Source organism: Homo sapiens, chromosome 2, assembly GCF_000001405.40.
Source record: "Homo sapiens chromosome 2, GRCh38.p14 Primary Assembly".
Lineage (NCBI taxonomy): Eukaryota > Metazoa > Chordata > Mammalia > Primates > Hominidae > Homo > Homo sapiens.
The window spans coordinates 238,887,652-238,903,659 of NC_000002.12; the positions used below are offsets into that span (position 1 = coordinate 238,887,652).

At 53.1% G+C, this 16,008-nt stretch overlaps 1 protein-coding gene across 1 annotated transcript in view, besides 1 other annotated feature; it reads left to right on the forward strand.

The window, feature by feature from the left end:
- TWIST2 (twist family bHLH transcription factor 2) overlaps positions 1-16,008 on the forward strand; it is a 62,450-nt gene that overhangs the window by 39,567 nt on the left and 6,875 nt on the right. The window lies entirely within an intron of this gene.
- Positions 2,542-3,063: an enhancer, noted in NCBI's record as "H3K4me1 hESC enhancer chr2:239798834-239799355 (GRCh37/hg19 assembly coordinates)". NCBI's record gives its function as "activates a minimal SCP1, AML or CMV promoter by ChIP-STARR-seq in primed H9 embryonic stem cells {active_cell/tissue: H9 hESC(primed)}" and the evidence as "EXISTENCE:reporter gene assay evidence [ECO:0000049][PMID:30033119]".

Genomic DNA, 16,008 nt, shown 5'->3' on the forward strand with positions numbered 1-16,008 from the left:
GAGGAAGCCTCGGTGCAGCTTCCAGGCTAAAGTTCAGAAGAAGCTGTGTGCAGGACGTCAGGTCTCTTCTGCTGCCCCAAGTGCCTGAAGAGGCCACAGGTTCTCAAGACTGTGGAGGCTCTACCAGCCTGAGTCCCTTCGTGACTGCGTGGAGCAGAGTCCCTGCCAACCTGAATGAGCAAGAAGCAAACGACTGCTGCATGAACCTCCTGAGATTCAGGGGCTTCTTTGTTGCAGCGTGAAGCCTAACTTGTTCTGCCTGACACAGCACTGACATGAGCAGGAAAACCATCTCATAACCCACGGCCGCCTCTCGTGTTGTCCTGAAAGCCTTATGCAGGCAGACTTTGCATGTGAAACGGGTGGGCCATTTAAAATTCATGTGAGAGGAGCTCAGTTCCGAAAGACACTTTTCACTCAAGTTTTTTACAAATCACAAAATGTTCCCAAGGTGTAACCATAGCTTCATTTGTTATTTACTAAATGTGGCTCTGTATGCCAGATTTCTTTAAAGTAACTCAAATGTTAGGATGTTGAGAGATGTAACCATTTTGCACTTTGCCTAAGCATTATTTGAATTCTTATCTTTGGCTCAAGGTCTTCTGCCCTGTTTTCAGAGTCCTGTCTCCATTTCAGGTTTTGTTGAAGTGTTCTTCCCTCTACTCACTTTCATCCTTCTTGTTTGATTGCAGGGCCGTGCTTTGTTTTAAAGCAGATTCAACCTGAATTCTTTAAAACTGCACAGAACATCTGCATCACATCTATTTATTGACAAAGCTTGATTAAAGACAACCTGGGAGGGAGGTGGATTTCTGGACCAAGGATTGAAAGTAGATGGCTGGATTCCCTTATAAACATCGACTTTGACACCACTCTGTATATTCATGGGGTCTGTATTAGAAAAAGAAATTACTCAAGGATGTTGAGATGAAGTTTAAGTGGTAATTACATGCATTAAAAATGGCCATTTAAGGGAAGGATGATTCCCACGTAAGGAGTATAAGAAGTCGTAGCCCCTGATTTAGTCAGAAATATTGTAGCAAGCATTTGGAGACTTCAGTTCACTATGCAGCTTGCATAATAACGGCGAAGTCCTGTTCAGGATCCCTAGATCTTAGCTCTGCCATATTTCAACCAAAATCAGTCATTTCTGGCTTTCAAACTCAGGCACATTGTTGCAACTCATGAAGAAGTAAATGTGAATATTTGGAAAAATACACAGCTATGCATGTCACACGTGCATATGAGATTCCCACCAATGACTGTCCAATGACTGTCCAGGCTGATTCTAGCAGAGAGGAGGAGACTGGAGATGTTCTTTGACACGCAAATGGTTGTAAATGTTCTCTTAAAAAAATTCCAGTGTCATCCTTGGGTCTGTCCTGGTCACACATTCCCAGGGTGGCAGCAGGCATCATAGGGCAGGAAGTGGCCATCCCTGGAGCCCTGGATCCCACAGAGGACTCCTGAAGGCAATCTTAGAAGTCCAGCCCAAAAGAAGAGCCAGGTTTGATTGGACTGTCATTCAGTTCCCCGAATTACACTGAATTCTGAATCGTGGACTGGGTAGGAACAATGTGAGTGTAAAATCTCCACCCTCAAACCATGAATTCAGTAAATCATGACTCGGGCAAACTTGGGACAAGGGTGGCCCTCCTTAGAGAAGCAGTGTGTGTATATGTGTATCTGCATGTATATATGGTACATATATTTATATATACACACATATATATACACATAGACGTGTGTACCATATGTACATAAACTGTAGATGGTGGGTGTGTATAATATGTGTATACCAGATATATAAATATCAAAGACCCTAAAGCCACTACCAGCCTGCTCTTCCAGAGCCCAAACTGTCCCCCACCCATCCCTGTGTTTCTTGGGTCCAGAGCAGAGCTCCGTGCTCACTTTGCGCATGATAGATATTTGTTGTTGAGTTGTCTCATCTCAAATAAAATTATATTTGTATTTATTCCTTCATAGTTACCTGAGTTATCTAAGCTGCAGTGAATAGTCCTCTACGGCCCCATTGCAGTCGTAACATGGAGTAGGATTCCACCCCTCACAGGCTGGTGGCCACATTTGTAAATGACGGCTCTGATGCTCTGATACTCAGTGCGTTCATTACAGATTTCTTAATATTAAGTGAGCACCTGCTACGTGTTCTCCCACTTGCAGGGCAGGTAGTACCAGCCCATTTTATAGATGAGAAATGGATTGCCAAGGATGATATATAAGTGTAAGAACCCACATGTCGGCGAGGGTGCCCGGCTGGCTGGAGAGAAGAGCTGCCTGGGTGGAGGCTGCCCAGCCTGGCCTGTGCGGAGGCTGCCCAGCCTGGCCTGTGCCTTCACAGAGGTGCAAATGGGCCAGGGGGAGCCTGCTCCCAGGGCTTAGTTTTCGAGGACAGCTGCGTGGAGGATACGTTCTTAAAGACATCCCTGGAGAGCGAGGTTCACCTGGGGCAGTGGAGCATCCGGAGCAAAGGCCTGCATTGGCCTCTGCACGTGGTCAGGGAGGTGGCAGCACCAGGGGATGCCACACAGCCAGGAGCCTGCTGGGCTGGGGTCAGCCAGGCCACCTGCCATGCTTGTGGCCACTCCAGCCTGTATCCCCACAGACGCTGACCGCTGCTCTGTGCAGGACCGGCACAGTGAGAGCACAGCCCGGCCTGCGCGGGGCAGGCACCCTCCAGAGCCTGGGTGAAAGTCCGGCACCTCCCCATCAGATCCTCACTTAGGAGACGGCCACTGAGAGCCCGTGATTGCACAAGCCTTGTAAAAAAGAGGGAACGCATTCTAAAGCCACACGATCCAGGTGATCCTTCCCCACTTAGGGTTTTTGTTCCAGAGGTATGACCAGAAATGTGTGTGCATGTGTGGCCAACTCTCATTCATGTCATTTTCTAGTTCTGGAAAAAAATTCACTGTTTAGGAAAATATAGAATATTCAAAAACACATTGAAAATAAAATCAAATGCCATAAGACTTGTTGGAGCATGCTACAGTTTATAAACGGGGTTTTATTGCAGGAATGCCGAATTTTTAAAAATTGAGTAATCACGACTATATTTCTGTATCTCTTTACTTGACCCTTGAGGCTGCGAGTCTTCTGGGGCAGGGGGATTAGTCTCTAAGCTCTCGCATCAAAGACAGCCTGAGAAGGCTCTGAGGGATCTGTTCTCCCAGGGTCTGCCCTTCCCAGATTGAAATCGTTCTGCCCACCGTCATCACAAACAGCACTGAGACACTCGACTCCTTAAAGTTCTCAGATGCCACGGGGTAGTCTCACCTGCACCCCGGGACCTTGCCAGCTATTTGTGGGCTGATAAGAATCCGTGCACTTTCACTCCTGTTCTCGGATCCCCCGAGCTTCGGCGTGGTCCAGCTCTCAGTTCTGCAGTTCACTCACCACTTTTAGACGGAGGACGTCGATTAGATTTGTGGATCATGACATTCGCAGTCTGATCTCAAAAATGAAATGTCAGGAATTGCAGCCTTTTGTTAGAGTCTGATGCAGGAGATCTCGAACACGTTTTCCAGAGCCGTCCCCAGCTCCAGGTGCTCTTAGATCAGCGAGGCCACCTTGACCCTATCGGGAGCATTCGGACTCCTGGTAAACCTCTCTCAGTGGACAGCAGAGCTGTGCTTGTGAACGGCCTTCAGGCCCAGCGCCCTCACTGTGCCCAGTGGGGATATCACTGGTCATGGCTGATGACTGGCCGAGCACCTGTGTGTCTCCTCAAAAGGAACCTGGGGCTTGGCCGGCATGGCCTATTCCTTGTTCTGGTCTGCATTTCGGCCTGGACTTCTGTGTCTCTGTGTGCTGTCCTGAGGCCTGCGGGCTCCCAGGTGTCTGTGTTCCAGTGTAGGGGGAGCTGGAGGGTGAGAGGACGGTCTGGCAAACGTCCTTCCCCTGGCAGATCTAGGAGGCATGTGAACAGGGGGACGGTTTCCCCCAGGAGGAGGCCGAGGTCCTGAAAGGCAGGTGGGGGCCTTGAGACAAGAAAGCGAGAAGGTTCGAGGGTCATCCTTGGCTGGCTGACAGCACCCTCACTCTGGGAGCTGGAAGCTGGGAAGGCAGAGGCGTGCACATTTTCCAGGCTTGAGTCCAAAAACCCCGCTATTCTCCGTGTCTCCGCTGCCTCACTGCCTTCCTCTGTTTGCTCCTAGAGACCCAGGCGCTGGGTCTGCGGAGTCCGCGGGGATGTCTTTCTGTGTGAATGAGCAGCCACTGCGTGTGGGAAGATTGGGCTATGTAGGACAAGCTGTATTTGTGCACCTGCGCAAGGCGGGACCACTGAAATTTAGCCCTGGAGTTCGTTCACGGAGCCGCTGACCACTTATCCCTTCCTCTTCAGCATGTGCTTGCCGCTGAGCCATGCGGGTGCTGTGTTCTCTGTTATGTGCCGGTGTGTGGACTGGAACCCGCCTGCAGCAGCCACTCCCACCTGCCCTCGGGACCCTGACTGTACATGGGCTGAGCCAGGCAACCACCGGAAGGGTGAGTCCTTCCCCAGGACTCAGCGGGTGAGAGACTCCGGCTCACCTCACGGCGGAACGCAGACACCTGAGAGCCCGCAAGCCTCAGGACAGAGAGAAACAGAGGTCCAGGTGGAAATGCGGAGGCGGCACGAGGAGGGGGCCCTGGCCTGGGAGCACGTGCGCTGCACCACGTGTTACCCGTGAGAAGATACACAGGTGCTCCGCCGATCACCAGCCAGGACCTTCCCCAGTCGCCTGTCCAGCCTGGGCTGTTCACTCATCCTGTCCTGCCCCTGAAATTTACTTTTTCCCTCTAATATGGTTTTTTGTTTGTTTTGTTTTGTTTTTGTTTTTTTTGAGATGGAATCTTGCTCTGTCGCCCAGGCTGGAGTGCAGTGGCGTGATCTCGGCTCACTGCAACCTCCGCCTCCCAGATTCAAGCAATTCTCCTGCCTCAGCCCCCCGAGTAGCTGGGACTACAGGCGACCACCACCACGCCTGGCTAATTTTTTGTATTTTAGTAGAGACGGGATTTCACCATGTTACCCAGGCTGGTCTTGAATTCCTGAAATCAGGGAATCTGCCTGCCTCAGCCTCCCAAAGTGCTAGGATTACAGGTGTGAGCCGCCGCAACCGGCCTTCTAATATGTTTTTTTCCAATCACCACCACAGGCCTCTACTAGCTGATTTTACCTTAACTGAGGCAAAGTCTTCAACACTTAGTGTGTGCTAGTTGATTTCTTAATATGATGTGTTTCTCAACAGAGATCAGTTTTATTCATGTGGTGCAGAAGTTTGAGAATCTGAAATGGGCTAAAAGTAACTGAGTCCAGAGCTTGGGAAGCAAAAGGCCTGTCCCTGTTGCAGAATGGTCTGGTTAACCACGCCCCCAACTGCTCCGCCAGAAACTCCAACTCTGCAGGCCTAAAAGCACCTCTGCCACACCTTCAGCTGAAATCTGAGTTCCCAGGGATTTCTGGGACCTGGCATTGAATTATAGGAGGATTCTTCCCATTGCTTAGGTTTTTGCATTCTTCTGAATATAGGTGAATAGATGCAAAAAATTTCAAAAATAGCTTATTTTATCAGAGGCATTTGAAAAAAAGACTGCCCAATAAAACATTTAAGTAGAGTTACTCTTGTACACAGTTTCGCATTTTAAAAACGGCCTATTTTTTTCAAGATTAATTTGAAGGACTAAAAGCTGGCCCTGGTTACAGATATGGCTTATGGTCAGCGTTGTTTAATTATTCAGAACAGTTTTATATCCCCCAGTTAAAAATTGTTCAAGGGAGACAGTCCCAGAATCATTCTGCCACACTTTCCAGGCCCCGCCCTCCCCAGAAGCACAGCCTGTGCCTCTCCACTCTGAAAACAGGCCCCGGAGCCTGGACACCTAGGCTTAATTCCCAGGGCTTTGTTCCTCCGCTCTCTGAGCAGAGTGGCTTCCTGCCTCTCAAAGCCTCCGTGTGCTCAGGCTCAGAACCTGGAACACGGGCGCACCGATTGCGTGAGATGGTTGAGAGTCTTCAGCCGAATCCCAGACATACAGTGTGGGGTCCGGCACTCAGGAAGCGCCGATCGCCGGCCGCCATTGTTCGCAGCTTCTGGCACTTTCGCTGTCCCACCAAACGTGTGGAAGACCATTCCCAAGGAGCGCCGACCTCCTGGCCTCCGCGGCAGCCTGCACCCGGCTGAGCCTGCTCTTCTGAAGTCCTGGACCCTGGTGACCTTTACGACGCGCCGTCCTCCTGCTAGCAGGGGGTGGTGCTCTCCAGCCCTCCCTTGACACCCCCTGGTGTCAGTTCTCCCCGGCCTTGCCTCTCCTACCACGTGCCTCCTTCCCAGCCTCTCCCTCCGCTTGCCCCTAAATATCTGCCTCCTCCAGTTCTGCCATGGATGGAGGTGTAGACCAGGAATCTGAGCCCATCTTGGGAATCCAGAGGCCTGGGTTCAAATCCTAGCAAAGCAAGCATCTCAACCTCTGTGCCGATTCCTCCTCTCTCCAAGGGGAGAATAAAGTTGGCCTCAGTCTGGAGAATCTGCCTCTGAAGCCCCCACCCTCTTCCGGGGTTCCCAGCATGTCCCTTTGCTGAGTGAACTGCCCTTCAGGGTGTCCTGAGGACTCCAGCAGCTCCACGTGGCTGACACGGGTCTTGTTGCCCCCGAGATGACTCCTCCTCTCTAGATCTGAGTCTAGCTTCTGGGTCAGGATGCACCCAGCCACCCAAGCTGGGCCCCTGAGCGGCCCCTTGCCACCCCCACACTCAGCGGGTCACTGTGTCTGGTGGGTGGCCCCTTGCCGCCTGCACAGCTGCTGTCTCCATGTGGTCCTGGCCTCCCTCTGGGCCATTGGGGGAGCCGCCCTGCCCAGGCCCCACCTCGGGGTCTGTCCCCTGCCAGCCAGAGCTACCTCTGACAGAGAGATCTGATGGTGTCTGTGGCCCCCCAAACCTTTCCTGGCCTCCTTGTCGCTTTGGGGAGTCCCACCAATTCCTGCCTCCTCCCCAGAGTCAATGCTGTCTTTACCCCCAGATCCCTCTCCCCACCTTCCTGGCTGTGCCTCCCATCTCTGCCTGTGCCCACGAGGCCCTTCCACCCCTCTCAACTGGGACTGATCTCCTTGAAGACCTGGCTGCAATCCCGAATTCTGTGACGAGCTCTCCAAACCCTCAGAAACATAACTGTCACCTTCCCTGTATGTTTATTATGGACCTTTTAATCTCTGTATTATAATAATACATTTGCAGTCATCACCTATATTTATATTTCATAGCAAGCTTGTTGCAGACCTGAACGTACTTTTATTGTACTTTTATTATTACATTTTTGTGATAGTGATTTGTTCTGCTGCTTGTCTCCCCATATGAACTGTGAGCTGGCTGAGGCACGTGCCTGCGTCAGGCAGAGCGCCCGACACCGGCAGCCCTTCTGTCCATATTTTCGTTCGCTGCTGCTGCTGTTGCTGCTGCTGCCACTGCCGCTGCCACTGAGAAGGCTGTGTCTTCAGATAGTCATGTGTTCTGTCAAAAGACATTTGTAAAGTTCACGCCCCTGGCTTGGACCAGTGTGTCAGTGCTGTGGATACAAAAGGTATTTCCAGCCCAGGGCTTAGCTGACTTGCGTTCTGGGGGAGATTCTGCACCCACTTGGTGACTTGGGATGTCAGGCCCTTCCTCACTTTCCTGTGGCCCCATTCTCTCCATGTCTGAAAAGACACTGCTTGGCCAGGTGGCCCCCAGAAGGCCCTCCAGCACCACCAGCTGGAAACGGGGCCCGCAGGGCGGTTCGTGTTCCATCATCTTCCACTCATGGGTTTTGTTTGGAGACTGAATTTGGTGGCATCTGGAGAAGTTGTGACTCACGGGTTGAAAGGGTTCCTGGACTTGCAGGGCCCAGGTACTGGGAGCGGTGGGATGCTCTCCTGCCATCTGGCTGCTCGTGGCTGGCCAGCCCTCGCTGTCTCTGAAAGTTGGGAGCGGTCCCTTTGCAGTGCTCCCAGGACACTCATCGTGGGGAAACGGGAAGGTCTCGCAGAGAGGAAGAGGGTGGGGTAGATCCTGACGGACCGGTCAGACTCTGCGGCCTCAGCCCCGGTAGAGCCCGCCCTGGAGAGCCTGGGGGTTGCCAGGTGGACAGGGAGAGGCTCTGCAGGGTGGCCTCTCTGGCAGTGATGCTGGGGGCTCCAAGCAGGAAGGAGCCGGCCTGGTCCGCTGCAGACAAGCTCGCCCTCTCCCCTGGTTTCCTTGGGCTGACTCCTCCTTGCCAGACAGGCCATTCCAAGCACAGTCAGCCTGGGTCCCTGAAGCCAAGCCCAAGCTGAGGGAGAGAGACAGCCTGGCTTCCAGCTGGCGTGAAGTCCTCGCTCCCCTGGAGGAGCCAGGCCAGGCCAATAGCCACCGGGAGCCCCGGCGTTGTAAATATGGTCATTCCCACATTCCCAGCAGGATTCCTCCTTCTCAGGCGCAGCAGGCAAGCCGGGGTCAGAGGCATGAGTCACGGAGGGGGGAGAGAGGGGCGGGGATCCGGAAGACGGCTCCGCAGTCGCCTGACTGCACCCTGCCTACTGACCCTCCAGACCCTGACGGCGAACGCCCCATGTGTGGGGCATCCAAAAGCGTGCCTGCCGTGCCATCAAAGCAGACAGGGATGCAGAAAGCACGGGAGACGTCCATAGCATGGGGAGCAAACAGGCCACTGTCCCCAGGGCCACCAGGCTGCGCTGGAATCACAGGCTCCCTGCAGGACCCCATTTCAAGCCAGTGGTGCCGGAAGTCCCTCTGGAGGCCGCCTGGCCGAGCAGTGTCCTTTCAGAGATGGAGGAACCTGGGGCACAGAAACGTGGGGTGGGGTGTGACTTATCCCAAGTCACCAGCTGGCTCCCTAATATCAGGCTGCCACCTGAACACGTCCTGAGCCACATGTCTCAAAAATTCCCGAGGCCCTGTAAGAGCTCAGAGCAGGCAGCACCTGGTGCATTTGTCTGACCAGCAGACACCCATCAATCCTCTGGGGGTCCTAGGAACTTTGGGGTGTGAGTGGGGGAATCTCACCCATGCAGTCATTCCTGGGAAGGCCTGACTCTCCACAGGGGAATGGGGCCAGCCGCTGCCACACACACACATGCTCTGGGATTTTAGCTCTGGCCCATTTCTTGGAGTACCATGGGCACGTGGTGGCCTCCTTGTCACTCACCAGCCTGCTGAGAATCACAGGGCAGAAGCTTCCACCCGGAGCCCACAGACAGAGACAAGGGGGTCCTGCCTGTAACAGTCACTGCTTCCATTTGGAGAAAAGTAGGCACACCCCAGGGGGAGGGAGGCGCCTGAGTGAAGGAGTGAGGGCAACCTGGCAGAGCCATTCAGGGGAACGTTGTAAAAAACAAATTAATCTCAGAATTCTAATTGTTTCCTGATTCCCATTTGCTTTCAAGAGAGAACAGAGCCTGCTTTCCATCCCTTTCCTCTTAGCCTCACCATCGTCCCACAGAAATATTCACCAAATCCTCCAACGCCCCCTTTGAAAGTCGCTGTCAGGGACGGTATCCCTGCGTTCCTCCTGCCGCACTTCTCCCTTGGTTGCAGACGTTGATTCTTAGATGGTCCTGTGGTGGGACTAAGCGGGGATGGTAAGCTTTTGCTGTTTCCCTTGTGATTTTCTGTCCTCCGCGCGCCCCCCTGCCCCTGTGTCCCCCAAGCTTCCAGGGCTGGGGGAGCCACGGAGTTTGGCCAGGAGGAGGGGAGCCTGACCCCCAAGGACACCTGCCTTTTTACCAAGTGGGACCCCCTTGCCACCTTCCCCCTACAGCACCCAGCAAGGGTGGCAGAGCAGCTGGCTTCCTGACATGCCAGGCCCCACCAACCCAGGCCACCCTGGTGCCTGGTTCCCTAGTGAGGAGTGGCTTTTCCTGCTCAGGGCCAGCCTTGTGCTCAGCTGCTCAGCCTCCGAGGTCCCCTGCCCTGCTTAGAGCTCGCAGTGCAGATGTGGCCTGGAAGGAGGCATCACACTCTCTACCGTGAAAGCAGCACTCTGCATTTCCTCCCCCGCCTCTGGACAAGACATTTGTCAAAAAGACAGTGCACTGGGGAGAAGGCTCTGGGGTGGAGGTGGCCAGCTTCATGCTGGCACTGCCCATCCCAGCCCGGGCTGGCAGCAAGCTGGGAGCCTACCCGGAGCCGTCTGGCCCTTGGTGGCCAATGGTCTCTTTGAACCCTTACCCAGATGGAACAAGGAAACTCGTTCAGCAGAGCAGGAGGGACTCTCCCGAGAGTCTCCATGGGGCCTGCTGCTGGCACCCTGATGCCTGCCCATTGGGTGGGTGATCACTGAGGCATGGTCCACAGGGCTGGACTCGGCCTGGGTGCACAGCTCTGTCCACTGAGTGTCTGGCCTGCCCCCAGGCCCTCCTGCCTGCCTGAGACTGTCTCAAGAGGGCTGGAGGCTGTGTTAGGACCCTTCAGAGGAACTGCAGCTGGCGAACGCGGTCTCAGGGCCCGGGTGCTGGGGGTGGGGCCAGCCCCGAGCAGGGAGCATCTTGCCTGTAACCAGCTGCCCCTAGCAGGGAGCATGTTGCCTCTAACCAGCTGTGTGACATAGTGTGGCCCAGCCTCAGCTGACCCCTCTGAACAGGGCTGAGTTGTCACAGGAGATGAATGACAAGGCCGGATATGTTCAGCCTCATCTTTCTGCCCAAAAAACATCTTAGATGAACTGGAGATTTTGTCAAAGCGCAGATGTTGACTCTGAGGCTCCGAGGCCTGAGACTGCATCTCTGAAAGCTCCTGGGGAATGGTGCTGTTGCTGGTCCAGGGACCAACTGGGTAGCAAGAACTTAGAATGCCCATGAGGCCATTGAGGATGCAAAGATCGCTTGGATCTATTGGATTGGTACAAAAGGGGAGTTCCCGCCAGCCGCTCCTGAGACACAGCTCAGGGTGGGCGCAATGTGGGCGAGAGCTCCTTGGGTGCAGCTGCCCCGAGGGGGCTGGCTTTGCTTTCTCCTTCCTCTCCCCTGAGGTGGGGGTGAGTGCTCTGACCACTGTGGGGAGAAGGCACCCATGTCGGCCCAGCCTTCCAGATAGTGCCCTCGTGCTAAGGGCTTTGAGGCTTCCGTTGGGGTGGGGGCTGGATGGGCAAAGTCCTGGAGGGGAGGCCCCGGGAGAAGTTGGCAGAGGGTCCCGGCCCTTGCATCTTGTGGCCTTTCTGTCTGCCCAGGTTTGCTCAGGCACAGCTTTGTTATTTGGAAGCCTGTAGTCAGGCAGCTCTGGTGCCGGCTCCTGGTGGGCCCCTTGGCACCGTGTGGTGATTGGACAATGTGACCGATGACTGCTCCCCTACATAGTATGTGCCTGGGTCAGAAGGTGGGCAGAGGCTGCCATCTGTGCCCTGCTGCCCTCCGGCGTCTGACCTGGCACGGCCCAGCATTACTGGCCTCTTTGCTGTTGGTATTTACAGCCCTGTCCATCATCTATCCGGTCCTGGCCTCGGCCTGCCAAGCCATGTGACCGCTGGCCACGGGAGCCACCTGCTTGGTCTGCACGGTCCCCGCATCCCTAAGGCTTCAGCTGCTGGTTTCTCTCTGCTTTCTTCATTGTAGTCCCTCTTTCAACAAATATTTAGTGAGCACTTATGAAGTGCCAGGAGCTGTTCTAGACCCAGTTGGGGAAGAAAACAGCTCCTTGCTCTCTTGGGCTCCTGTTCTCATGGCGACATGTGTGTTGCCCATAGACCAGGCAAGGCCAAGCCTTTCTGGTGAAGTAGCTCATTGAGCCCTCACAGCACTGATGCAGCACGCCCTATTGTTACCCTCACTTGGGTGTTTTGCAGAAGTGGAAACTGAGAGCTGGACAGGTTAATCCACTCTCCCAAGGCTGCGCCACAGAGAGAGGCAGCGGGGCTTCAGCCTCAGGCCAGGCTCCAGGGCCCGTCTCAGGGAGAGCTCAGGAAACCAGGCCTTGGAATTGCACACACCCCTCTCTGTGCCCATCCCGGCATGCTCTCACCGTCCCTCCTTTCACAGATTTCCAAATGGTAACATTCTGCATTCCTGGAATAAACCCTTCTTGGTCATCTGGAATTGGTTCTTTAAATACCCGACTTGACTTGATTTGCTAATGTCTTAGGACTTTTTGCATTTAGATTCACAGGCGGCAACGTTCTAGCCTTTGGTTCTGATGCCGTCAGGACAGGTGTCCAAACCGTGTCATCTTTTTATGAAGGATGCTGGGTATGGGTGGGAGCAGAGGGTATATGGGAAATCTCTGGACCTTCCTCTTAATTTTGCTGGGAACCTGAAGTGCTCTAAAAAAATAAAGTCTTTACAAAGAAAGAAAGAAAGAAATATAAATAAATAATAAAATGGGAAGTGGTCCTTCATCTTTAAATTCTGGAATAGTTTAATATAGATGGGAATTATCTGTTCATAGAAAGTTCTGTTTAATTCTCTTATAAAACAAGCGGGTTTGTTATTCTTCGTGGGGTAGATACAGACCTTTGTAACCTGGTCCACATGTCTGATGGCTATCGATACATTTGGGTTTCCTGCTTTTTCTTGGATGAGTTTGGTAACTTGGACAGCATGAGAATTAAGAGTGTGAGTTCACGAATCCGACTGCCTGGTGACAGTCTGGCTCCTGCTGTCCTTATTCATTGTGTGACTGGGCAGACAGAAGCTTGGGGTGACTGGGGACCCACAGATGTGCCCGGTGTGGCCAGAAGCTGTAGGGGTTGCACACCCCCTGGACTCCTGCCCCCAGTTGACTGTGGGCCTCTCAAGATTTTCCTTACAGCCACTTTCCTTCTCCCCAACATTCTTATTTGCTTGTTTTGCACTGGGGGATTAGTCCATCATTTGTTGTCGTACTTGCAGAGAAAGAAGCCCCAGGAATACCTTTCCTTTGGACAGAAGGCATTTCTAGTGGAATTTCCCTGGAGCAGCTGCTGAGCGGTGCACATTCTGCAGCTGCATTGCTTCTCTCGCTCTCCCGCATGGTCCCTGGACTCGCTGGGTATGGACTTTCGGGGCTGCCCTGCTCTTTCCACCAACACTCTGGACATTCTGGGAGTGTCACTGAGTGGGGGTGGTGAGCTTGTTTGGAAGCCAGCATGCATCTGCTGGTTGTCTGGGTCTGGAAGCCGTAGGAGGTTGCCCTACTCTTAGAGCCCAGAGATTTCTTCGTGATTCAGCTGGGTTGCCCCTCCTCTTGTTTTCCTTCCTGGAACTTGGTGTTCCCTTTTAGTCTGAAGATTATCCTGATAACCTGAAGATAATCCTGAACGTGGAGACACGTTCCTCTGCCATTTTTTCTGATCGTTTCTGCCCTATCCCTTCTCCTTCCCCCCCGGCTTTTTTTTTTTTTTTCTGAGTCTCACTCCATTGCCCAGGCTGGAGTACAGTGGCAATCTCAGCTCACTGCAACTTCTGCCTCCCAGGTTCAAGTGTTCCCCTGCCTCAGCCTCTGGAGTAGCTGGGATTACAGGTGTGTGCCAACCATGCTGGCTAATTTTTGTATTTTTAGTAGAGAGAGGGTTTCACCATGTTGGCCAGGCTGGTCTCAAACTCCTGACCTCAAGTGAACCACCTGCCTTGGCCTCCCAAAGTGCTGGGATTCCAGGTGTGAGCCACCGTGCCGGCCTCCTTTGCCTTTTGCTCAGCATGCTGGGAGACTTCCAGGAGCACTCTCTGATGTATTTGTTTTTCTTCATTTTTAAATTTTTTAAAACTTCTCCTTCTATTTGTTTTGTTGTTTCCAGCAGTCCTTGTTTTGTTTCCTAATGGTTCCTTTTTTTGAAGCAGACAATTCTGGTTTTCTCCAGGCTCCTCCTCAGTAGGTGAATTCTGCTGCTCTGAGGCTGGATCCCTGTGCGGAGGCCTCTGCTAGGCGTTCAGCCTGGATGTGCCCCCTGAGTGGCCCTCGGGTCCCTGGGGTATCTCCTTGTCTGTTGTGCACTCACGCCGATGGGAGGTCTCACTGACCACGCTGAGCGGTTCCATACCTCTGGTTGACTCGGGGTGGCTGAGGTGGGTGTCTGAGGGGTCAGGAGGCTGGGTCCAGACTCGGCAGGGGACAGAGAGCCCCCACTGAAGGACCGCGCCCACCAGGCACTCAGGAGAAGAGAGGAGTGGCTTTGTGGGGTGGCCAGGACCCATCGAGACCCATGGGGGTGGCTGGCAGCTGGGACTTCTCCATGTCTGTGAACTCTGCTGTGATCTCACCCTGGCACGTTCCCTAGCCCTGAGCATCTGGAAGCCCAGGGTTGAGGGTGTGGTGGGGGAGGGAGAGGAGGTGGGGGTGAGAGCATTTTTGCATGAACTGGGGGATGCCAGGGTCCTGTGGAGGCAAAGCCTCCTCCGCTGTGATGCCAGGGGCTGAGGAAAGGCAGGGAAAGCTCAGGGTAATGAATGTCCTGGACATCCGCTCCATGCTGTGGATGATGGTCACAGCCCACGCTTCTGTGGCCAGATTCTGACCCCTGATCCTCACTTTTACCCCTCCAGGGTCCCCTGGCAGAACCTCAGGGGTGTGTAATGGTGTGTGTGTGTGTGCAAGAGAGAGAGATATGGGGTATGTGTGATGTGGAGTATGTGTGTGTGTGATGTGTGTGGTAAGGAGTTTGTATGAATTGGGGTGTGTGTGATGGGGTATGTGTGATATGGAGTATGTGTGTGTGATGTGTATGTGTGGTGTGGGGGTGTGTGGTGTTGGGTTTGTGTGAATCGGAGTATGTGGTGTATGTATGTGTGTAGTGTGGGGTTTGTGTTAATCAGGGTGTGTGTGTGATGTGATAAGTGTGTGATATGGGATGTATGTGAATTGGGGTATGTGTGGTGTGAGGTGTGTGTGTGATGTGGAGTGTGAGTGATGTAGGTGTGGATGTAGTATGGGGTGTGTGTGTGGTGTGTGCATGTGTGTGCGATGTGGGGTTGTGTAATGTGAGTTGTGTGTGTTGTAGTGTGTGTGATATGAGTTGTGCATGATGTGAGGTGTGTGATATGAGGTGTGTGATGGTGTGTGTGTGATGTGTGTGTGATGTGGGGTGTGTGTGATATGGGGTGTGATGTGTGAGGTGTGTGTGATGTGTGTGTGATGTAGTGTGTGTGATGGGTGTGATGGGTATGTGCGTGATGTGAGGTGTGTGTGATGTGGGGTGTTGTGATGTGTGAGGTGTGTGTGATGTGTGTATGTGATATAGTGTGTGTGATGTGGGGTGTGTGATGGGTATGTGCGTGATGTGAGGGGTGTGTGATGTGGGGTGTGTGATGGGTATGTGCGTGATGTGAGGTGTGTGTGATGTGGGTGTTGTGATGTGTGAGGTGTGTGTGATGTGTGTGTGATGTGGGTGTGTGATGGGTATGTGCGTGATGTGAGGTGTGTGTGATGTGGGTGTGTGTGATGTGTGAGGTGTGTGTGATGTGTGTGTGATGTAGTGTGTGTGATGTGGGGTGTGTGCTGTGGGGTATGTGCGTGATGTGAGGTGTGTGTGATGTGGGGTGTGTGTCTCATGTGAGGTGTGTATGTGAGGTGTGGGATGTAGTTGTGTGATGGGTGTGTGTGATGTGGGGTATGTGATGTGAGGTTTATGTGATGGGTGTGGAATGGGTGTGTGTGAGATGTAGTGTGTGTGCGATGTGGGGTGTGTCTAATGTGAGGTGTGTGATGTGGGATGTGTGATATAGTGTGTGTGATGTGAGGTATGTTTGAGGTAGTGTGTGTGTAATGTGAGGTGTGATTTAGTGTGTGCGTGATGTGAGGTGTGTCTAATGTGAGGTGTGTGTGTGATGTGGGATGTGTGTGATGTGGGGTGTGGGTCTAATGTGAGGTGTGTGTGATGTGTGTGCATGATGTGAGGTGTGTGTGATGTGTGTGTGTGATGTGGGGTGTGTCTAATGTGAGGTGTGTGTGGGTTGTGGGATGTGTGATGTAGTGTGTGTGATGTGAAGTATGTTTGAGGTAGTGTGTGTGTGATGTGGGGTGTGTGTGATGTGAGGTGTGTGTGTGATGTGTGATGTGAGGTGTGT